Genomic DNA, 24,543 nt, shown 5'->3' with positions numbered 1-24,543 from the left:
TTATTTCTGATATTGGTGTTAGCAGAAAAATCAAAATGGGTACAATATGACTACAGTATCATGAAGACCCAGGATACTTAGTCCTGTTTGTTAAGAAGCAAGGAAAGATCATATAAAATCACTTCAGGTGGTTAGCACCAATCTCTTAAGTGAGTCTTGCTTTTTAAACTTCTATATCAGTAAAGAAGTGATAAAGACCTGCAATGACCTTCTCTGAACTTCAGAATAACTGTTATTAAGAGAAATGTCATTTTACCCCTCCAGGAAAGAATATATCTCAGGACATGATTAGAAGCTCAGAGAATTTCTTAACCCCGAATTTACTTGTCCTTTCTTCTTCCATTTGGCTAGACTAAGACTCTCGCACTGGTGATGAAATACTCACTTTTCCACTCAAGCCGCCTGGAAACTTCCTCGGGACCTCTGAAAGGGCTGCCCCTGAGCAGAACTCTCCCTCTCCCCAGCGCAGAGCCCTGCCGGGCAGAGGCCACTGGCTGCTCTCCCACCCCAGAATGTGGATCTTCACAAGAGGCCTGTGTCAACAGCCCTATCAGGAAGATCACATGACACAGCCTTTGTCTCCTTCCTGCCGGTGTGTCGGTGGTCATGACCAATGACTGCAACAGGGGACTGCCAGGGGAGGAAAAATGCTTCATCTATATTCTAGCTGTCAAAGAGGAAGACAAGACACCTCCCCAGCTGCCTTCCACCACAGCCCAGAAAGGCCCTGCTTCTCCTACCTGAATGGTTCGGTGCGGGAGAACAACTAGAGACACAGGAAACTAGGTCTCCAGCCAGGAGCCCACTGTCCTCCCTCCATGGAAATGAAAGACAAGTTGCTTTGATCACCTTGGAGACCAACCACCTCCTTCTTCTGAAAGCTAACCCCACCTTAGCAGCAGCTGCCTCCCCTCCCCCCAGGAGCCCCACTCCCTCCACTCGGCTTGAGTATCAGGCTAATCAGTTTGATCTGACAGATTTTAATTACATTAATTAGGGCTTTTCTGAATAGGCCTGATTAGCATCCTACCAAGGGTTCTTTGGTGGTGGTTTTTTTTGTTTGTTTTGGTTTTGTTTTTTTTTCCCTTCTTCTCTAAAGCAGCTCTGCTAGCATCAGGACTAATACTTTCATTTCTTCAAACAATGGTGACATTTTTGTCTTGCTCAAGGTAAATAATCAGATATTTGGAGGCGCCAAGTGTGACAGTGTATTTTATAATAATATCACCCATGAGGATACGGAGTAGGCTCTGCATCTATCTCATGAACCTTGGTGGGGAAGAAGAGATTGTTTAGGACATTTCTCTAGAACATAGGCATTGGTTTTGTTTAGCTTTTGCCTAAGGAAAACTCTACATTGAGTTTTAAAGATCCAACCTCTTCCAGATCTTCCCCCGCACCCCCAATCAGACTGAAGCACAAAGATATTCTTACCTCTCTGTATCATTTTGTTGACCCCGTTTTAGAGAGAATCAGTGATAGTCACAGAAAAGCAAACAGAGATTTAGCCTTTGTCTCTCCATTGTTTCTTAAAATAAAAATACCTTGAGTGTCAACAAGGTTTTTACTGAAAATATTTAACTACTTTCAGCCACTAATAAAAGAGAACAACGTTGATTTCTCAAAATACTGTACAAAGATTAGCATGGCACATATATTTGCCTTTGTTGATCATCTGTGCTATAATTACTGCTTTAAAATATGCTGTTTTGAATAAGCCACAATAAATGAGGGCGTAGTTCCAGACACCAGGAAGAAAATCTACCAAACTAAATAAAGTCTGTTTGCTTTTTTAAACAGTCTAATATGAAACTATTTTTTTTTTTTACCACATATCTCAAGGAAAGCAGTAAAAGTGTGGACTTGCAACCCTTAATTCAAGTTTTGCATTCTACAGACACCCAATCTGCCCTCTGCGACTTGTGCAATAGCCACTTCTCTGGGGATTAACACTGTTATTCCCACTCACCTGAACAATGTCATAACAATGATGGTGTTTTATTGGGATAGTTCCTGAATTAGCTAGAACCTTGGAAAGATGGATGAGAAATTGCATTTTCTAGCCACAGTAGCTTACCAGAAAGATAAAAGTTGAAAAAATCACTTAAACATGTATTCTAATACCATATGCATCTCCCTTTTTCTTAAGAGACTGGGTCTCGTTCTGTCACCCAGGCTGCCTTGAACTCCTGGGCTCAAGTGGCAGTCATCTTATCTTTAAGGGTTATCTTACATTTAATATTTCTAGCCCTTTGTTTTCTCTAGTCACTTTAAAGGGAAAGTGAACTTTCCAAAAGTGTCTACGTATTAACTCAATGAAAATGACGTTCACTGCCTTTTTCTTATCACCTAAGTCTCACTGGAAATCAGAGTGAAACTTTCTTGCTTTCCCTTGTCTTATCTAGGTGGATAGGATGTCTTTAGAAGGAACCTGACTTAATTCTGTCTTTGATAACTACCATGCTTACATCTGAGCTTAACAATCACAAGGATAGTGATGATCCATTCACCTGCATGGGAAGTAATGAAAGCCTAAACTTGTAGTGCTAGGTCTTTGATCCACTTTGGATCAGAAAATAAAGAATTTCCAGGAAGCACTGGTAAAAGACTGGAGAAACTGAAGGGCGGAAAGAGGTGATACGATTTGAGGCCAGATACTGAACAGTACTGCTGCTCCTCTCATACCCAAATGTTTGCCCTGGGTTCAATACTATCTATTTTACACTCTGCAATGATGATTTACTTCTGGCTTCCCTTGGCAAAAAGTACTAAGTGATTTATTAACAACAAAATAAACCAACTGACTCACAATACCTAGTGCCAAAATTTACCTAGTATTCCATTTAGTTACTTAATTATAACTTTAAATTCTTCTAAACAGTTCAAGAAAGAGAAATGGAATTAAGAGTCTTGTCAGCCAGACTCATAGAATGTTAGCAACAGAATTTAGTCATGAGCAGGAACAGAAAAAAAAAAAAAAAAGAAAGAAAAAAAGGAAAGAACAAAAAGTGATTAGTGGCAGAAAAAAAGAGTGTAAAGCTTTTGCTTTCCAAAGAAATTGAGAATTGTAAAGCCAGTAGTAACTTTAACAATATAGATTGAGATATACAAGTACATATTCACACATATAGTGGGGTTAAGGAGGTAGGGCATAAAACTAAAACAGAAAAAAAATTAAAGTAAGAAAAAACTAAATGGAAAAAGATTCCCTAGCTTTTAAAATATTCACTCCTGTGTAGAATAAGAGGATCACAACCCATTTCATAAGATTAAGATACAATGATGGTCACTGAGCAATCTTGATACCACTGACAGTTAATTCGATTAAAAATATTAAAATCTGGGCCAGATGTGGTGGCTCATGCCTGTAATCCCAGTACTTTGGGAGTCTGAGGCGGGCGGATCACTGGAGGTCAGGAGTTCGAGACCAGCTTGACCAACAGGGAGAAACGCCGTCTCTACTAAAAATACAAAATTAGCTGGGTGTGGTGGTGCATGCTGTAATCCCAGCTACTCGGGAGGCTGAGGCAGGAGAATCGCTTGAACCCGGGAGAGGCGGAGGTTGCGGGGAGCCAAGATCGTGCCATTGCACTCCAGCCTGGGCAACAAGAGTGAAACTCCATCTCAAAAAAATAATAATAATAAATAAAATAAAATATGAATATAAGCTCTCCAAACATATTTTTGTAATAATTAGATCTATGTCTTATGAGAACATGATAGCTCTTATTCATTCATTCATTCAGTTAGCCAACGATTATTTACTGAGCTCCCTCTACATGCCAGGCACTGTGCTAAGCAGTGGGTATATGATATTCAGCAAAACTGACATAGTCTTTGCCCTCCATGGAGCTTATAATTAAGCGAGAGAAAACAACAATAAACAAGTTAATGTAAAAATAAATACCAATTATGGCAATTGTTTGTGTTGTGTGAGAGAAAATAACAGTGAAGGGAAACTGGGTGTTCAGAGAAGACCACTCTGTGAGGTGACTTTTAAGCTAAGGCTTAAAAGTGTCAGCCTTGGGCCAGTTGTGGTGGCTCATGCCTGTAATCCCAGCACTTTGGGAGGCCAAGGTGAGCAGATCAGCTAAGGTCAGGAGTTCAAGACCAGCCTGGCCAACATGGTGAAACCCTGTCTCTACTAAAAATACAAAAATTAGCCGGGCGTGGTGGCACATGCCTATAATCCCAGCTACTCGGGAGGCTGAGGCAGGAGAATCTCTTGAATACGGGAGGTGGAGATTGCGGTGAGCCGAGAATGCGCCATTGCATTCCAGCCTAGGTGACAAGAGTGAAACTCCATCCTCCCCCCAAAATGTGTTAGCCTTGTAGAATGGGGAGAGAGGGGCAGTATGATAGTGAAGTAACGTTGGATGAAGAGAAGCTTTCTAGCACTCCAAAATCGGGAAGAACTCCGTGAGTTCTAGGATCTACAGGGACATAGCTGCAGCAGGGTGAGTGCATAAGTTGAGGTACAAAACTTCATAGCCCATGATAAGAGAAGAATTTGTCTCCAGAAGACCAGGTTTTATTCTGAGGACAACTCTAGAAAAACCAGAAGTTAAACGTTCATTCTTACATTAACAATTTTTGTTCACACTTGGTTTTGTTTTGTTGTTGTTGTTGTTTGTTTGTTTTTTTTTTTTGAGACAGAGTTTCACTCCTGTTGCCCAGGCTGGAGTGCAATGGCATGATCTCAGCTCACTGCAACCTCCACCTCCCAGGTTCAAGCGATTCTCCTGCCTCAGCCTCCCGAGTAGCTGGGATTACAGGCATGCACCACCACGCCCGGCTAATTTTTTCTTTTGTATTTTTGGTAGAGACGGGGTTTCTCCATGTTGGTCAGGCTGGTCTCAAACTCCCGATCTCAGGTGATCTGCCCGCCTCGACCTCCCAAAGTGCTGGGATTACAGGCATGAGCCACCATGCCCGGCCCCACACTTAGTTTTTAAGGTAACACTGAAGAAAGGTACTCTAATAAGAGAACAGTTATGTGAATTAGAAATATCTGGTGATTAAATATTATCAAAACATTTAAAAATGTTTTACAAAATATATAATGAAGGGGCTGGGCATGGTGGCTCATGCCTGTAATCCCAGCACTTTGGGCAGCTGAGGTGGGCAGATCACTTGAGTTCTGGAGTTTGTGATCAGCCTGGGAAATATAGTGAAACCCCATCTCTACAAAAATATCAAAAATTAGCCACACACGGTGGCATGCACCTGTGGTCTGAGCTACCTGGGAGGCTGAGGTGGGAGGATTGCTTGAGCCCAGGAGGTGGAGGATGCAGTCAGCCAATATAGTGCCATTATACTCCAGCCTGAGTGACAGTGAGACTCGGTCTCAAAAAAAAAAAAAAAAAAGAAAGAAATACTAGGAAGAACGATGCCACCATGTTACCAGGTTGATAATGATTGATGCTAAGTGGAGGAATTATGGATGGTTCTATTTTTTACGTAACTTTTAAAAAATTATTATACGGTCAAACTTTTCTGGGGGGATGTTCAGTTCTCTGAATTTTAACACATGTAGATTCATATAACCACCACCACTATCAGGATACACAATGGTTCCATCATGCCAAGAAACTATCTCATGCTATTTCTTCATAGTCATGCCTGATGGTTTTATTTAATTTTTAGCCTTTTCTGTAGCTTCCAAACTCTCTATAATTAGTAGGTATTACTTGAATTTTCAGGAAAAACAAAAAACGTATTTTAAGGTAATGAAAGTAAAAGAACATAACAGCAATAACCTAAAGCAATGGCTTTTTTCTTAATCATTATTTGAGACAGATGTCCCAGATATTTTTCAATTTAGAATCTTCCTTAAGTGACTCATTCTGCTCCTGAACAAAAATACTAACCTTTGAACAATGTGAAAAATACAATGTTTGCAGGTAGGGCCTGGGAGATATTTTATGTTATCAAGAAGATTCTCTCAAAGAACAATGACAATGAAAAGTAACAGAGAGACATACAGTAATATTAATAGTAATGCCAGCTCAAAAGACCTAGGAGAGAGAACAAACAGAATTGAACACAAGAAACATTCCTGCTGGAGCTCCAAGCATTGCTATGTGGTGCCATAGGATTCCAATCCAAGCGGTCCACCTTCAGAAACTGTGTTACTATTACCTCTCCTAGAATGTCATGTTGTTTATAGTGGGGAAAAAATAGGAAAGTAAACTAAGGCCCATTAGCAGGAATGGTTGAATATACTATAGTCAAACATAGCATTGAATGCCAGGCCAAATTAAGACCTGTAACAGTGACTGTAGAAGGATTTTCATCATCCTTTTATTGACAAATGCAAGATAGTAATATGATCTGTTTTTCCAAAACAATGACAGAAAACACTATATATTTCTATCTTAATTGTTCCTCTATAATTATATGCACATTTAGGAAGGTAATAAAGGATACACATCATGTTGTTAACATTGAAAAGGGAGCTTTTACTCTTAATTCATAACTGCAAATTAATAATAATTCTTGTAATTTTAACAAACAAGAAATAGACAACCTTCTGATCAATTTAGTCAAGTAGGTATGTATCTGGACAACACCTGAGCCCACAGGATACAGGTTTGAACTGTGAAGTCTGCTTTACAGAGAAAAGCTGCAGACGGCTGCTGCTGCCAGGATTCTTAATCACTGAGAAAGTAGAACAGAAACTAGGAGGACAGTATATCTCTTAAGCAGACTATCTGAGAGCCTCTTCAATCCTTTTACTAGAAGGTAAATACACCCTGGCCTGCAGATAGACGGAGGTGGTGTGCTCGTATTCATGTGTGCTAATATGTGCACATGTGTTTATTCCAGCAACCCCACACCCTCCATTGCTCTAGTCTAGCTAGAATGGTCCTGGAGAGAAGAGGACAAATCAATCAATTCAGCATGTCACTCTCAGCCATCTTAGGAAATCAGCTGCATGCTCTGATTTCTTCATTAATGTCAAGAGAAGAACAATGGGTCCCAGCCATTAAGCTCCTCGCAGTTCAAGATAAGAAAGAGTTAAGCAGATAATAACCAGTGCATGTAGCTGGGTTTCAAACATTTGGCTGCTTAATCATTTCTTCCTCGCTGGGCAGTGCCCAAACACACAGGAAATATTTTGAATGCCTTGGTCTTAGTGATCAGGGAAAGTAAGAGGGTTTCAAGAGAGGTGTGGGTATTGTAAAGGGAGGGATGGAGACGGAGAATTTATAGAGGTGGACAGGCCAGAAAAATATCACTGGCAAACCTTTACTAGGAAATAAAACCATTTCTTAATTGCCATTCGGGAAATAGGCTAAACACAATCTCGCTAAGCCGCTATGGACTAGCTAACTGATTAAGGCAGGGATGTCAGCAAGAAATACTTATTTCTAATATTATATGACAATAGATTTGTGACTAACCCATTTAGTACTACTGTTTCACAAACTAGCTTATTTTAACTTTTAAAGTAACATTTTGATCATGCTTCACTGAACACATCAGGGGTAAAATTATACACTTGAATTTAATAATAAGGGAGACAGAAGGAAGCTAATTCCAGGTGGCCTATATTTCAATCAGTACAAAATAAAAACAATAAAAAAATAGCTGTGGTTGTTTCCTGAAATGAGTGGGTTTAGGAATATAGACTTTTTTGATAAATTGGCACAATGTTTCAAAAACATTTATGAGTAACCAAAATAGTAGCTATAGAGGATAATCCATCTTTCTATCATCAATGTGTTGAATTATACAGAAACTTAGACAAACATAACAGGGATTGAGTCACTTTTCTCTTAGATGAAAATAAACTTAAGGCAGCCTTTTATGAATACAGGGACCAAATATAGTTTTATACTCTTGGATTTAATAAAATCCATATACACAAAAAGGCTCTCTGTCTATTTTTAAAGGCATGTCCTTATCCTTTGAGGAAAGCTCTGAGCCTCTCCCCACTCCTCCAATGCAGCCTGAGATAGTGAAGATGACCATAAGCAATCAAAGGGACTTCTTATAACATAGCTGTTTCTGAACTTTCTAAGTTTATGGTCTAATTATAAAGAGTGTGAACAAGAAAGAAGATTACTTACTTATTTAAAAAATGTTTTAAAAATACATACTCATATATTGTCTCATTTGATATTCTCTAGCAATGGGACATTTGAATTTACAAGTTCTATTCAAATCAAAATAAGATTCCTAAAAATATACCTAGAAGAATAAAAATGTGTGTGAAATGGCAGTTGGGAGAGAGGATTCTGGAAAGAAGGAGTAGGGACCTGTCTTCTCAGCTAGACAACAAACACACTGGCAAAATTTGTCTCATGTAACTATTTTGGAACTCATGCAACCTCTAGGGGAAGGCTTGGATGTCAAATTATGGTTAATTTTGGTCAATTTCAGCTCTTAACTCAGCAGCAGCTACCCATTCCCCACCTCTCAGCCCCATGGCAGGCAGCTGTGTATGTACTCCTGGAGCAGCTTGCCAGGGTGTGCAAAAGGGACTCTATCCTCCAACGATTAGGATCTATGTCTTGATCACTGATTGCTGCTTTGGATCATGGAGTGTAGACATAGAGGCAGGCTGTCTTTGTTGCACATACCATCCCTTTATTACAAGGTCCTCCTCCTCCAGCTAAAGCAATTGCCAGAGGTTTTAAAGGACCAGCATCCCTTTTCTTCTTCATTTTTCTCCTTTTCCCCTTTTGGGAGCCAGACATTAAAAAATAGAATATGCAAAAGCAATGCATAGAAGGAGTAAATTTACAAGTCACCACACATGCCCAGTGAAATGTACAGGCTCAGAAAAGACCTGAGAACACCTTAAGTTTATACCTCAGGCTGATCCTTGGCACAGAGACAGCCTACAAGAATAAAAAACAAAATAGGATGAAGACAAAAATAGCAGGCTGGGTATGGTGGCTCACGCCTATAATCCCAGCACTTTGGGAGGCCCAGGCAGGCAGATCACCTGAGGTCAGTAGTTCGAAACCAGCCTGGCCAACATTGTGAAATCCTGTGTCTACTAAAAATAGAAAAATTACCTGGGCATGGTGGTGCATGCCTGTAATCCCAGCTACCCGGGAGGCAGAGGTTGTAGTGAGCCAAGATCATGTCACTGCACTCTAGCCTGGGTGACAGAGTGAGACTCTGTCTCAAAAAAAAAAAAAAAAAAAAGACAAAAATAGCAAACCATAGGAAAGGGAGAGAGTCTGATTTCCAGTTATCACATTATTTGTTTCGAATGTCCAACTTCCAGCAACAATCACAAGACACATAAAGAAACAGGAAACTGTGGCCTATTCAAAAGAAAGAAATAAACCAACAAAAATTGTCCTTAAGAAAGATGAGATAGCAGACCTACTAGACAAAGACTATAAAAAACAGTCTTAAATATGCTCAAAGAGCTAAAGGAAGATGTGGGGAAAGTCAAGAAAACAATGTATGAACAGAATGGAAACAGCAATAAAAAGATAGAAAACCTAAAAAGAAACCAAGAAACTCTACAGCTGAAAAGTACAAGGACAAAAATGAAAAATTCACTAGAGGTATTTGGCCAGATTTGTGCAGGCAGAAGAAAAAAATCAGCAAACTTGAAAATAGGACAAAGACAATGATTGAGTCTGAGAAACAGAAAGAAAAAAGATGGAAGGAAAGTGAGAAGAGCCTAAGGGACCTGTGGGATGCCATCGGTAAACCAACATACTCATCATCATGGGAATCTTATAAGGAGAAGAGGGAAAAGGGGTAGAAAGATTATCTGAGGAAACAGTGGCTGAAAACTGACCAAATTTGATGAGAGATATGAATATAAACATCTAAGAAATTCAGTGAACTTCAAGTATAATGAATTCAGAAATCCACACCAAGACAAATGATCAAGAAAAGTGAATCATCATTTACAAGAAATCCTCAATGAGATCATCAACTGATTTCTCATCAGGAATTTTAGGGGCAAGAAGGCAGTGAGCTAGTATATTCAATGTACTAGGAGCAAAGAAAGCAAACAAACAAAAACCCTCAGCCAAGAATCCTATATCCAAGCAAAACTATCCTTCAAAAGTGAGGGGAAATTAAGACATTCCCAGATGAACAAAAGTTGAGGAAATTGGTTACTACTAGAACTGTCCTGCAAGAAATGCCAAAAGAGGTCTTGCAGGTTGAAATAAAAGAACACTAGACAGTAACCTGAAGCCATGTGAAGAAATAAAGAGCCAGGAATGGTGGTACATACCTATAGTCCCAGCTACTTGGGAGTGCTGAGGCAGGAAAATCACTTGAGTCCAGGAGTTTGAGGCTGCAGTGAGCTATGATTGTGCTACTGCATTCCAGCCTTGGCAACTGGGCAAGACCCCATCTCTAAATTTTTGTATTTGGCTAATTTTTGTATTTTTAGTAGAGAAGGGGTTTCACCAGGTTGGCCAGGCTGGTCTCAAACTCCTGACCTCAAGTGATCTGCCCGCCTCAGCCTCCCAAAGTGCTGGGATTACAGACATGAGCCACCACGCCCGGCTGTAAAGTTGTTTTTAACTCTACTTTTTTGTTTTCTACATGATTTAAGAGACTGTTACACTAAGAAACACAATTATTAGTGTGTTTCTGAGCATACAATGTACAAAGATGTAGTTTTGTGGCATCAATAACACAGAGGTGAGGATGGAGCTATAAATGAACAGAAGTTAGCATGTTATTGAACTAATTTAGTGTAAATTCAAAATAGAGTGTTGTAATGTGATCTCATGGCAAATACAAAGAAATTAAATAGTTACGGAATATACAAATAAATGCAAATTAAAATGTTTCACTACAAAAAATCAACTAATCTAGCCTGGGCAACATGATGAAACCCTGTCTCTACTTAAGTTAGAGTGCATGGTTAGCCGTGCATGGTGGTGCACATCTGTAATCCCAGCTACTTGGGAGGCTGAGGCATGAGAATCACTTGAACTTAGGACGGAGAGGTTCCAGTAAGCTGAGATTGCACCACTGCACCCCAGCCTGGGTAACAGACTTAGGCTCTGTCTCACAAAAAACAAAAAACAACTAAATTCTAAAGAGACAGTAATGCAGGAAATGAGGGTCAAAAAATTGCTTCTCCATAAGGAATATAGAAAACAAATAGCTGGCCAGGCACAGTGACTCACGCCTGTAATCACAGCACTTTGGGAGGCCGAGGCAGGTGGGTCACTTGAACTCAGGAGTTCAAGACCAGCCTGAGAAACATGGTGAAACCCTGTCTCTATTTAAAAAAATTTTATTTAAAAAACATAAAAAAGAAAACAAAAAGCAAAATGACAGAAGTCTCACTTCATCAGTAATTACTTTAAATGTAAATGGATTAAACTCTCCAATCAAAAGACAAAGATTGGCAGACTGAATTAGAAAACATGACCCATGACCCAATTTTATGTTATCTATAAGAGATTCACTTTAGATCCAAAGACAAATAAGTTGAAAGTGAAAGGATAGAAATATATATCCCATATAAATAGTAATTAAAAGAAAGCAGGGTAGGTATACTAATTTTAGACAAAATAGTCTTTTTTTTTAAATTTTTTTGAGACAGGGTCTCTCTCTCTCTGTCACCCAGGCTGGAGTAATGTGGCATTATCATAGCTCACTGCAGCCTCGACGTCCCAGGCTCAAGCTATCCTCCCACCTCAGCCTCTTGAGTAGCTGTGGCTACAGGCATGTGCCACCACACCCAGTTAATTTTTTAAGTTTCTATAGAGACGGGGAGGGGGGTCTCACTATGTTGTCCAGATTGGTCTTGAACTCCTGGCCTCAAGCGATTCTCCTGCCTCAGTCTTCCAAAGTGCTGAGATTACAGGCATGAGTCACCACACCTGGCCAAAATAGATTAAATCCCAAGAGTTTAGAAGAGACGAAGAAGGATGTATTTTATTAATAAAAGGCTCAATACAGCAATAAGATGTAACAATTACAAACATTTAAACACCTAGTAACAGACCATCATAATATTGAAAGCAAAAATTGATAGAACTTAGACTGAAGGGAGAAGTAGTCAGTTCTACAATAATAGTTGGAGATTGCAATACTTCACTCTCAATAAAGAATAGAACAAACAGAGAGAAATAAGGAAATAGAGCACCTGAACAACATAACGAACTAATTATATTTAACAGATATATACAGGACATTCTATGCAATAACAATAGAATATATTCTTCTCAAGTGTGCACAGCACATTCTCCAGAATAGACCTATGAAACAGACTTAAAAAGACTTTAGTGTCATGCCCAGTGTGGTGGCTCACACCTGTAATCCTCCCAGCACTTTGGGAGGCTAAGGCAGGTAGATCACCTGAGGTCAGGAGTTCAAGACCAGCCTGGGCAACATAGTGAAACCCCGTCTCTACTAAAAATACAAAAACTAGCCATGCGTGGTGGTGCACACCTGTAATCTCAGCTACTTGGGAGGCTGAGACAGGAGAATCACTTGAACCCGGGAGGTGGAGGTTGCAGTGAGCTAAGATCACTGCACTCCAGCCTGGGTGATAGAGGGAGACTCCATCTCAAAAAAAAAAAAAAAAAAAGAGAGAGAACATGAAAGACTGTAAGACTGTAGTGTTATCTCTGAGTACAATGGAATGAAGTTAGACATCAATAACAGAAGGGAAACCAGAAAATGAACAAATTTGTAGAAATTTAAAACACTATTAAATAATAAAAGAAGAAATCAAAAGGGAAATTAGAAAAATAATTAGAGATGCATGAAAATAAAATACGACATGCAAAAACTTATGGGATGCAGCAAAAGCATTGCTAAGGGGGAAAATTTTTAGCTATAAACACAAACAAAAATAAGAAAGATCTTAAATCAACAACCTAACTATATAACTTAAGTAACTAGGAAAAGAACAAACTAAACCCAAAGCCAGAAGATGAAGGAAATAATAACGATTAGAGCAAAGATAAACAAAATAGAGAATAGAAAACAATAAAGGAAATAAATGAGACCAAAAACACTAGTTCTTAAAAGATAACCAAAAAAGGGGCAAATCTTTAGCTAGATGAACTAAGAAAAAAAGAGAGAAAACTCAAATTACCAAAATCAGAAATGAAAGTGGGAACATTACTACTGATTCTACAGAAACAAAAATGATTCAAAGAGAGTACCATGAATATTTGTATGCTAACAGATTGGATAAACTAGATAAGATAGACAAATTCCTAGAAACGCAAAACCTACCAAGACTGAATCACGAAGAAATAGAAAATTTGAAGAGACCTATAACTAGTATGGAGAATGAATGAGTAATAAAAATAATAATAAAAAATCTCTTGACAAAGAAAAGCCCTGAACCTGATGGCTTCACTGGTGAATTCTACCAAATATTTAAAGAACTAACACCAATTCTTCTCAAGCTTTAAAAAAAAAAATAAAGAGAAAAGAACATTTCTTTACTCATTGTATGAGGCCAGCATTATCCTGATACCAAAGCTAGTCAAAGACACTACAAGAAAACTGCAGACCAATATCCCTTATAAATATTGACACAAAAAACCTCATCTATATACTAGCAAATGAATTCAACAGCATATTACAAAGATTAGGCCAGGCACAGTGGTTCATGCTTGTAATCTCAGCACTTTGGGAGGCCTAGGTGGGAGGATTGCTTGAGGCCAGGAGTTCAAGACCAGCCTGGTCAACAGACCAAGATCTCATCTCTTAAAGAAAAAAACATACTAAAAATTAAAGAAATATTATACATAATCTCCAGGCGTAGTGGCTCATGCCTATAATCCCAACGCATTTGGGATGTCAAGGCAGGAGGATCGCTTGAAGTCAGGAGTTCGAGACAAGCCTGGGCAATATAGAGAGATTCTGTCTCTACAAAAAAAAAAAAAAAACTAATATTAGCTGGGCATAATGGTGCACACCTGTAGTCCTAGCTACTTGGGAAGCTGAGGTGGTGGTGGGGTATCACTTGGGCCCAGGAGTTACAGATTACAGTGAGCTATGATTGTGCCACTGCACTTCAGCCTTGATGACAGAGCAAAACTCAGTCTCTTAAAAAACAGATTTTAAAAAAAGGTTAGATGGTAAATTTTATGTTATGTATATTTTATCACAATTTAAAAATTGAAAAAAAAAAACTACCCATGTTTTGTTATCTCTAAGCCCATTATTTCTATGTCTCTAAAATGGAAATGATAATACAACCCACCTCATAGGGCTTTTGTGAGGATTAAATGAGAAAATATTTGTTAAGTCCTTTAGTGCAGTGCCAGACACAACAGTAAACTTTCAATAATGTTAGCTATTATTCTTACTTAAAAGTAACTTAATGAGTGGAAGGGAACTAGAATTAAAATAATCAAGAATTGATAACTATTAGCAAATAGTAAGAAAGGTGCCAAATTGTATGAGGGTGATTATTTCTTCAAATTTTATTTTAATTCAGGGTTGTCATGAAAATATGGTATTGGCTGGGTGTGGTGGCTCACACCTGTAATCCCAGCACTTTGGGAAGCTGAGGCAGGTGGATCACAAGGTCAAGAGATCAAGATCATCCTGGCCATGGCCAACATGGTGAACCCCATCTCTACTAAAAATACAAAAATTAGCTGGGTGTGGTGGCACAAGCCTGTAGTCCTAGCTACTCAGGAGGCTGAGGCAGGAGAATTGCTTGAACCCAGGAGGCGGAGGTTGCAGTGAGCAGAGACTGCGCCACTGCACTCTAGCCTGGTGAAAGAGAAGACTCTTGTCTCCAACAAAAAAAGAAAATACGGTATTGTACTTTGGGAGACTGAGAAGGGTGGATCACTTGAGCCCAGAGTTCTAGACCAACCTGGGCAACGTGATGAAACCCTGTCTCTACCAAAAAGAAAAAAAAAAAAAATTAGCTGGGTGTGGTGGTGCACACCTCTAGTCCCAACTACTGGGGAGGCTTAGGCAGGAGGATTGCTTAAGCCCAGAGAGGCTGCAGTGAACTGTGATTGTACCACTGCACTCCAGCCTGGGTGACAGAGCAAGGCCCTGTCTCTAAATAAATAAAGTATTCTTTAATATGCCTAGCTATTTTATTACTTTACTTTCTTGATAATTTCATGTGAAAATGTTCATTTCTTCTCTTTTTAACAAAGTCGATTTGTCTGGTTTTGTGAGACTCTACCTGTGGGTAAGGCATCATCTTCAACTGAGTCACAACATATACTAATTGCAGAGAAAATGCCTCAGGAAAAATAAATAAGTTTCCTGCATCTGATGGACTCAAGCCTATTAAAGGAGACAGCTATGGTCTGGGCACAAAAAAAGTTAAAAAAACAAAACTGGGATGGGAATCAGAAGATCAGACTCTCACTCCAACTCGGGCTTTTTGTTTCTTGTCTTTAAAATTAGATAGCTGATCTACTTCTCTTTAAGGCCCCTTTCAGGTCTTAATTTCAAAGTTGTGTAGTGTGGTTGTTGCCCTGGCACCTCTTCCCACACACTGCAGAAAACCAAGCTTGGAGATAGCCCAAGCCTCAGATAAAATCATGGTTTCCCCGTCAACTGGACTGTCCCCATTGCCTGGCATTCATTCCATGTTTCCCACCTTGGTGGTCTCACTGGTTTCCACAACCTCAATTTCAAACTTTCATCCTCAATCTTCTGCCCTCCAATCTCAGGAAACTGAAGATCACTCTGTTTCACAGAGAAAATATAAACCACTAAATTACCCTCAACTTTCTACCACCCAAAGTTAAATTCCCCAACATCCTCATTTTTTTCTTTAGCTTCAGTGAAAGGAGTATTAAAAGGAGGCCGTGGACTGGAGAGCACTTCTCCAGGAAGCATTCTTTTGCCCCCTAAGCCTGGGCAGATCCCTCTGCTGGGTCATCCCTGAAGATCCTGGGACTTCTACCTTCATTGCACTTATCATGGAACCACATATTTAAAAGGTGTCCATTTACTTTTCTGTACATCTCAAGCTGCTGTAAGTTCCATGTGGGCAAAAGTTATTTCTGGCTTATGTATATTTGTTTCCTCTATATAACACAGAAGTTGTTCAATATATATTCTAAAAATTGAAGAATAAGTAAGTTTCCCAATAAACTTACCAGAATGCCAAACTCTTGGCACCACTTGGGCTGTGCCTGCAGGTTCTTTCCAAAACAAACTTTTTTATTACTATAAAAGCAATGCATATTCACTATGAAGAAAAAAAAATCAGAAAAAAAAAAAAAAAGAGAGAATACAAATGACAGGAGACTCCAACCTACCAACTATTGTTAACTTCTTTAGGCATATTCTTCCAGAAGCTTTTAATCATATGCTGATATTAAAATAGGATCACTTCAGATATACAGATCAATATAACAATACAGAAATAGACCCGCACATATTTGATCTACTGATTTTATATGAAGATGCTTGAGCAATTCAATGGGGGAATGGAAAGTCTTTTTAGCATACGGTGCTGGACCAACTGGATATTCACATGGCAAAAAAAATAAAAATTGACCCTTATCACCATACATATAGATTATCTCTAAACGAATCTTAGACCTAAATGTGAAACCCAAAACTATGAAACTGCCATAAGAAAATGTAAGAAAATATATTTACAACCTTGGACTCAGCCAGTTTTTTAGATAAGTTACCTGCCCCCCACCCCCGTCAAAAAAGGCATAAACCATTAAAGAATAATACATTAGACTCCCTCAAAATCTAAAACTTTTGGTTTTGAAAAGACATTAAGAAAGCAAAATGGGCTGGGTATGGTGGCTCACTGCTATAATCCCAGTGCTTTGGGAGGCCATGGTGGGAGGATTGCTTGAGGCCAGGAGTTTGAGACCAGCCTGGGCAATATAATGAGTGTGAGACCCCATCACTACAAAAGAAAATCTTTCGTAATTAGCTGGGCTGTGCACTTGTAGTCATAACTACTCTGGAGGTCAAGGTGGGAAGACTGCTTGAGCTCTGGAGTTTGAAGTTATAGTGAGCTATGATAGTGCTACTGTACTCCAGACTGGGTGACAAAACAAGACTGTGTCTCAAAAACAAACAAAACAAAACAAAATGGCAAGCCACAGACTAGGAGAAAATATTCACAAAAGATATATCAAACATAGGACTTATGCCCAAAATATATAAAATACATAAAGAACTCTCAAAACTTAATAAGAAAACATAAACCAATTTTCTAAATGTGCAAAATAGTAGAATAGAAACTTCATCAAAGAAGATATACAATGGCCAATAAGCCCATGAAATGATGTTCAACATCATTAGTCATGAGGGAAACGCAAATTCAAATACAATGAGGCCGGATGCAGTGGCTCATGCCTGTAATCCTAACGCTTTGGGAGGCCAAGACGGACAAATTGCTTGAGCCCAGGGGTTCGAGACCAGCCTGGGCAACATGACAAAATCCCAGCTCTACAAAAGATACAAACAAAAAAAAACCAATTAGCCAGGCATGGTGGTGCACGCTTGTAGTGTCAGCTACTAGGGAGGCTGAGGTAGGAGGATCACCTGAGCCTGGAGAGGTTGAGGCTGCAGTGAGCCATGATGGTGCCTCTGCACTCAGCCTGGGTGACAGAGTGAGGCCCTGTCACAAAAAAAAATAAAAGAAAAAAACCAAAAAGTTGAAGAGACTGTTATATCCATACAATGGACTACTCAACAACATAAAGGAATGAACTCTTGATCCACGCAACAACATGGATGAATCTCAAAATCATTATACTGAGTGAAAGAAAACAAAACAAACAAGTGCATACTGCTTATTCCAGACAATGCATATTTGATCTACTGACTTAAGATGCTCAGGCAATTCAGTGGGGGAATATACAAAGTCTTTTTAACATATGGTGCTGGACCAACTGGATATTCACATGGCAAAATAATTAAAATTGACCTTATGTACCATACATCACCATACATATAAATTAACTCTTAATGAATCTTAGACCTAAATGTAAAACCCAAAACTATGAAACTGCTATAAGAAAACATAGGGAAGGCCGGGTGCAGTGGCTCATGCCTGTAATCCCAGCACTTTGGGAGGCCAAGGCAGGCGGATCACAAGGTCAAGAGATTGAGACCATCCTGGTCAACATGATGAAACCCCGTCTCTACTAAATATACAAAAATTAGCTGGGCATGGTGGCGTGCGCCTGTAGTCCCAGCTACTCGGGAGGCTGAGGCAGGAGAATCGCTTGAACCCAGGAGGTGGAGGTTGCAATGAGCCGAGATAGTGCCACTGCACTCCAGCCTGGCAGCAGAGCAAGACTCGGTCTCAAAAAAAAAAAAAAAAAAAAAGAAGGAAAGAAAGAAAACATAGGGAAATATATTTACAACCTAGAAAAATTCTAGAAAATACAGTCTAATTTCTAGTGACAGGAGACAGATCAGTGTTGGCCTGGAGATGAGGATGGAAGGAAAGATGGATTAATGGATTACAAAGAGACACAGGAAAACTTCGGGGGTGGGGGTTGCTAATGGAATGTTCATCATCTCAACTGTGATGACATCACATGTGTCTGTGGATGTCAAAATGTATCAAACTATACACTTTAAATATGTGCAGTTCATTGTACTTCAATTATACCTTAATAAGGTAGAAAAATAAAGCCAAAAATGGAATCATACATACCTATTACTTTTTAACTTGATAATATGGTGTGAACACATTTTCATATTAATGCCTATATTTCTATACCATGTTTTAGTATTCCATTACATGAATATACTCTGATTTATTTAACCAAACTCTTGTTATTGGATATTCAAGTTGCTTTCAACTGTTCACTATTACAAACCACAGATAAGAGTATTTTTTCAGAGAGGCCATGTATAATTCTTAGTTGCATTACCTCAGTTAGTTAAAATACTACACTTATGAAGCAAAGGTCCAACATTAAAATTCTGTTTCATAGCCATGAACTTGGACATAACCTTAGTCTTGGATTGCTGTGCTGAAAATACATGCGATTGGACCGAAAGACACTGGACCACCTCAGTGTGAGGAAAAATCACCAGAAATCCAGCCCCGCTGGAGGAAAAAGAAACATATGCTGAAATGGCAGATCAGCCACATTATCTCCAAAAGCAAAGAATATGCTTAATCAGCCTTAAGAGAATCATGAAAGAAAAAAATATTTATTGAAGGTATTCAATGTGTTTTTTAGGGTAGAAGAGGAATGCAGAAGAGCTCTCCAAGGCACATAACACAGTCTCAACTCTATTGGTGCTGAAAGCTGATCTTGCACTGAGGAAAGTGACTTAAGTAGGTAAATTCACTATTTGCAAACCCACTCCAGGGGATCATGTGTAATGAGCTAAGTGCCAGCTGTAGGAATAGCCTGAGACCCAGCATTAGGAGCTGGTGAACAGTCAGCAAAGCAGCCAAAGAACATTTCACATGGGTTTAAAAACAATTTTTTTCTCTCCTGCCAAACAGAGGGTTTTTGCCCCTCATTTGTAGGACACTCTCAAGTGATGAAATCAAAACTGCTTAGAATAGAAGAATATACATTATTCAATACTTATCTGGTACTTTTAAGATAAAACCCTACATTGATCCACTCTCATTCTCTCCCCCGTTCCTCCTGGTCCCCCACCACCTATTTTTCCATGCAGTCTGTACTTTACAACTCTTTCTCTCCCTGCTAGAGCAGACCTCTCCCTCATGCCAAAACTCCCCTTTGAAGTCCGCCCTCCCATTAGGGCTTTGGTGTAGGTATTCAGACTGATCACACAAGCCCAGCAGAAGTCCCGGACCATCCGCATTCTGTCGTATACAGTTGTTTCATGTGGCCTGTGATTTACAGTCTTAATTAATGCTCAAAAGAAGAAGAGCACATCTTTGGTGAAGTTTTTCCCCCCTTCTTTCTACAAAACAGGACTCTTGGGGTTTCTGTGGACATTGTGCAGGATGGCTTTGCCAAATGGAATGAAGCACACTTAATACTTTTCCTTTATAACCTTTGCCATAAATCAGCTGGCACTCCGTTTGCACAAGTGCAGCGATTAATGTCTTGCCCCTCCCCCGGCACTTCCCGAATTTTAAACAAAGTAGGAATAAACTGAGGGAGAGCAGAGCCAGCGGGCCCAGTAAATCAGTTTAATGAGATTCGAATAGATCACATAGGACATATTGTGGAAGAATAAGGTGGGTGGTGGGGATCCGAATTTCAACAACGTGGGAGTACTGGGGGCTGAGAGAGGGAACTGATGCAAGTTGCGGTAGGCAATGCTCAAACTCTGACACGTCTTTGGTAAAAACAGCACATCTTACATTCTCTTTCCCATTTGCTGAAACTTACTGCTGTGACTCGTTTAGATTTAGCGCTGCTTCCTGTCTGTGGTTTTCCTGGTCCATGTTCTCCCACAGCTGGAGAGATTTTTGCTTGCTTCTTCTCATCCATGACCATGTTGATCTGCATTCATTCTTATTCTATGGTCTCCTTTCTACAAACACACATCTTTGTATGCACAAGTAACTTTCTATATAAGACAGGAAAAATAAAGACCTGCATATCTAAGGGCTGAACTAAGTTAAGAAGTAAGAAGCTAATTATTGGGTGTCATCCATCCACACTGGACAGCCAGAGGCTGCTTAGTTCACCCTTCACCCACTGTCACTTACAGGTAGGAAATTTACAGTCCTCCCTCCCTCCCACTACACCAGACGAAAACATTGTTCAGTTTTCGGCTCTTTATTTTATTTTATTATTATTATTATTTATTATTATTTTTGAGATGGAGTTTCACTCTTGTTGCTTAGGCTGGAGTGCAATGGCACGATCTTGGCTCGCTGCAACCTCTGCCTCCCGGGTTCAAGCGATTCTCCTGCCTCAGCCTCCCAAGTAGCTGGGATTACAGGCACGCGCCACCATACCAGGCTAATTTTGTATTTTTTAGTAGAGACGGGGTTTCTCCATGTTGATCAGGCTGGTCTCGAACTCCCGACCTCAGGTGATCCTCCTGCCTTGGCCTCTCAAAGTGCTAGGATTACAGGTGTGAGTCACTGCACCCGGCCATTTTCTGCTCTTTAAATCAAATATACAAATAGGATTCTTCTTGCATCGAAGACTATATTACAATGAAAAAGAAAACCTTAAACCTTTTCTCAAAAGAGTTGTCTGATTACATATTTCCTTAATATCACTCACAGAGAAAAAGTAAACCATCCTAAGTACCTCTGTTAATACAGTTCTTATGTGTTAGAGAATATGAGGGAAGATGATTCAAAGAAAGGAAAAGAGAAATGAAATAAACTGCCTTCATAATGTTTCATTTAATTTCAGAAATGCATGAGGTCTGTTTCAAAACTTATGAGTCCCCTGTATATGAGATTGCCAACTTTTAGTCATGTTTATTATTCTTATTACTCTCCATGACTAAACACCAGAAAGACATTAGTTTAGTATGTTATGAGGTCAACCAATTTTATCAGGAAATGCTGCATAAACAACTTATTAACTCCCCAAAGAGTATCAATTTGATAATATGATGCATAATAATGCTATGTTATTATACCTTTGAGATTTTATTCTTTTTTCTTTCCTCAGGTGAGAAATGAAAATTACTCTTGCATATATCCCTCCTCTCACTTAATCCTGAACATGCTAGGCAACCTCTTACTCTCATACTGAAATATTTATTCTAAAAAGCAGATTCAAGATTTGACTATTCCAAATCTGGGTTTCAACTAGAAAACAATTCAGAAAAATAAACACAATCCTAAACTTGCTTTACTATGGATAATAAATACTAATTAAATATTTTTTAAAATATTGCCAGATATTCAACCTGAGGAAAATCAGTGGGCTGAAAGTTATGGATCTTTTATGACAAATTAGACCTCTTGTGCTTCTGGATTATTTTGTACTATGGATTATGTCAAGCATATGGCATAAACGTTAACTAATCCAACAACACAAAGGAATACAGCTGTGGGAGAACCTAAATTACACAAGAACAATTTTGCATTTTAACATGTAGGCCTTTAGTGCTTTTTCAAACTTGACATAAGGTCTCCATCTCCACTGCTCCTCCTCTAAAATAAATGGGAAAGAAGTTGATTGATAACATACTTTAACTTTAGATTGCTCAGACATGGTGTGCTTGCTTAAAAAGCCTCACCTCTATACAGCACTATTTATTTTTAAACCATTAATTTTACATTTTTTTTTCTTAACGAGATCAAAGAAGTTCTACCTTGCCAAGGGAAGGAAGAAAATATTCAGCAGACACACGACTTGTGAATATTTGGCATTCACAAGTGCCAAATGCCCAACACCCACCCTCCTCTACATACAACTGTTTCCATTTCCATTTTGTTGTTGTTGGTTATGAGCATGGACATGTTACCTGACACATATTTTAATTTCAAATCTGATGGCTAAGGAAAAAGAGGGATTTCAGTATCTCTCCTTCTAGAACACGGCAAATAACCTCCTGAAAAGATGAGCTAAACACAGTGTCTCAGTGGTGTATAAAATCAGTGTTAAAAGCCACCAGAAAAACCAGTGCCTTTGTTTGTCCTCTCCTGGCCTGAAAAAGATTCAGATTTGGTGAGATTTAAAAAGCTCCACACTGTCTTATGTGACTTCTTCCACTGTACAGATGATTAAGAATGAAGAAAATAATCATTTGAATTTATAGTATAATGACCATTGCAAACATCACATGTCTGTCTTATAAGAAAGTCATTTCCTTTCATAGAAGAGATGTCTGAGACAAGTTTAAAATTTCAACTGCAATCTGTCATCGTTACCACACCATGCAAATAAAATAAGGTGTCGAGAGTATTTTTAATCCTCTGAATGAGACATAGTACTAATTAGATGTGGAGAGGAAATGTAGTGAAGAAACAATAATATATTAACGTATGACAATTGTTTAAAGGCCATTTCTCGAAATGTTGAAGAAAACTGTAGGCACACAAATGCTTGCATTTAATTTTGGGGGTTCATGGCCATGTGCAGACAGCCGTAGGACCATGCTCCATAGCCTGCCAGGCACAAAAGGAATCAAACCAGCTTCAGGAACACTTAAATTAACACGTAGGCACTGATTCAATTTTTTTTTTGAGACACGGTCTTGCTTTGTCACCCAGGCTGGAGTGCACTGGCAAAAGTAGGGCTCATTGCAGCCTCAACCTCCTGGGCTCAAGCAATCCTCCTACCTCAGCCTCCCAAGGACCTAGGACTACAGGCGCGTGCTACCATGCCTGGCTAATTTGTAAATTTTTTGTAGAGATGTGGTCTCACTATGTTGCCTAGGCTGGTCTCAAACTCCTGTTCTCAAGTAATCCTCCCATCTTGGCCTCCCAAAGTGCTGAGATTATAGGCATGAGCCACCGTGCTAGGCCAATCTAATTTTTCTGAATCTTTTATCAGAGAAAAAGTAAAGATTCTGGTCACTTTTGAAATGGAGGTAGAAAAACAACTTCAAGTCAAATATCAGCTAGCAGATTCCAGCAGCACAAGCAGTGTGGCCTGTCCAGCTCTGGGACAATTGCATGCGAACAGTATCCAGCCCCGTTCCAAAGGACAGGATTTTCTAGGAAAGTTGTGTGGTTCCTACCCTAAGGAAGAACTAAGAGTCTACACAACAGAAATGATAAGAACTCAGCAAAATTCCTGTTAGATGAAGAAAATGTAATGACCTCCATTGCCTAATTTAGTAAAGCTTCCTAGAGGAGGGGAGGGCTGGTCAGAACTTACTTCAAATCATTATTTATTTTTTTTTTTTTTTGAGACAGAGTCTCGCTCTGTCGCCCAGGCTGGAGTGCAGTGGCGAGATCTCAGCTCACTGCAACCTCTGCCTTCTGGGTTCACGCCATTCTCCTGCCTCTGGGACTACAGGCAAATCATTAAAATTTAAACCACTGTTAAACACTACAGGGAGTCTTATTAAAGTGCCAGAATCTTACAAACACTAAAGAAAATACCCCATAGTAGAGGAAAAATAGAAAGAAAATAAAAATAATGTCCATAGTATATGATAGATTAAATAACCATTGAGAGGCTACAAAGATCATGTCCTCAAATCATGACAATTCCCCACTACTGACCAAATTTACTTTTACATCAAGACAGTGCTAATGAATTACCAGATTTCAAAGCACCAGAGCAGAACACTGGAAAAGATGAAGGAAATCGCTTTAACAGCACACGAGGGGGAAGCTGACAGTCTGTAAGTAAGAAAGGAATGGGAGCTCAGAACACAGGAGGAAGAACACAAAAGAATCGCAGCAGCCTGAAGCCATTTAGACTGAAGGGCAAAGACCCTGAACAGCTCCTTAATTAGTATTCATGGTGACGACATTGAATCTATAAGAAATAGTGAAATGATGTTCAATATTTCATTTATGGCCGGGCACAGGGGCTCATGCCAGTAATCCCAACAATTTGGGAGGCTGGGGTGGGAGGATTACTTGGGGCCAGGAGTTTGAGACCAGCCTAGACAACATAGTGAGACCTGGTCTCTTTAAAAAATTAAAAAGGCTGGGCGGGTGGCTCACGCCTGTAATCCCAGCACTTTGGGAGGCCGAGGTGGGCAGATCACTTGAACTCAGGAGGTCCAGACCAGCCT

The 24,543-nt window shown here is 39.4% G+C and overlaps 1 protein-coding gene across 2 annotated transcripts in view; it reads right to left on the bottom strand.

The window, feature by feature from the left end:
- The window catches only part of PRDM1 (PR/SET domain 1), a 117,249-nt gene that overhangs the window by 62,762 nt on the left and 29,944 nt on the right, over positions 1-24,543 (bottom strand). Inside the window, exon 1 of one of the 2 annotated variants that reach the window (XM_017011187.2) lies at positions 386-514. The exons of the other annotated variant lie outside the window; for it this stretch is intronic. The gene's annotated coding sequence lies outside the window, so the exon portion shown is untranslated. Of the gene's footprint in view, positions 1-385; positions 515-24,543 lie in introns of those variants that run through there. 2 annotated transcript variants of the gene reach the window in all.

The sequence above is a fragment of the Homo sapiens genome, chromosome 6 (assembly GCF_000001405.40).
Source record: "Homo sapiens chromosome 6, GRCh38.p14 Primary Assembly".
NCBI classification, from domain to species: domain Eukaryota; kingdom Metazoa; phylum Chordata; class Mammalia; order Primates; family Hominidae; genus Homo; species Homo sapiens.
The sequence above is the reverse complement of the archived record's forward strand: the minus strand, read 5'-3'. Positions and strand labels throughout refer to the sequence as shown.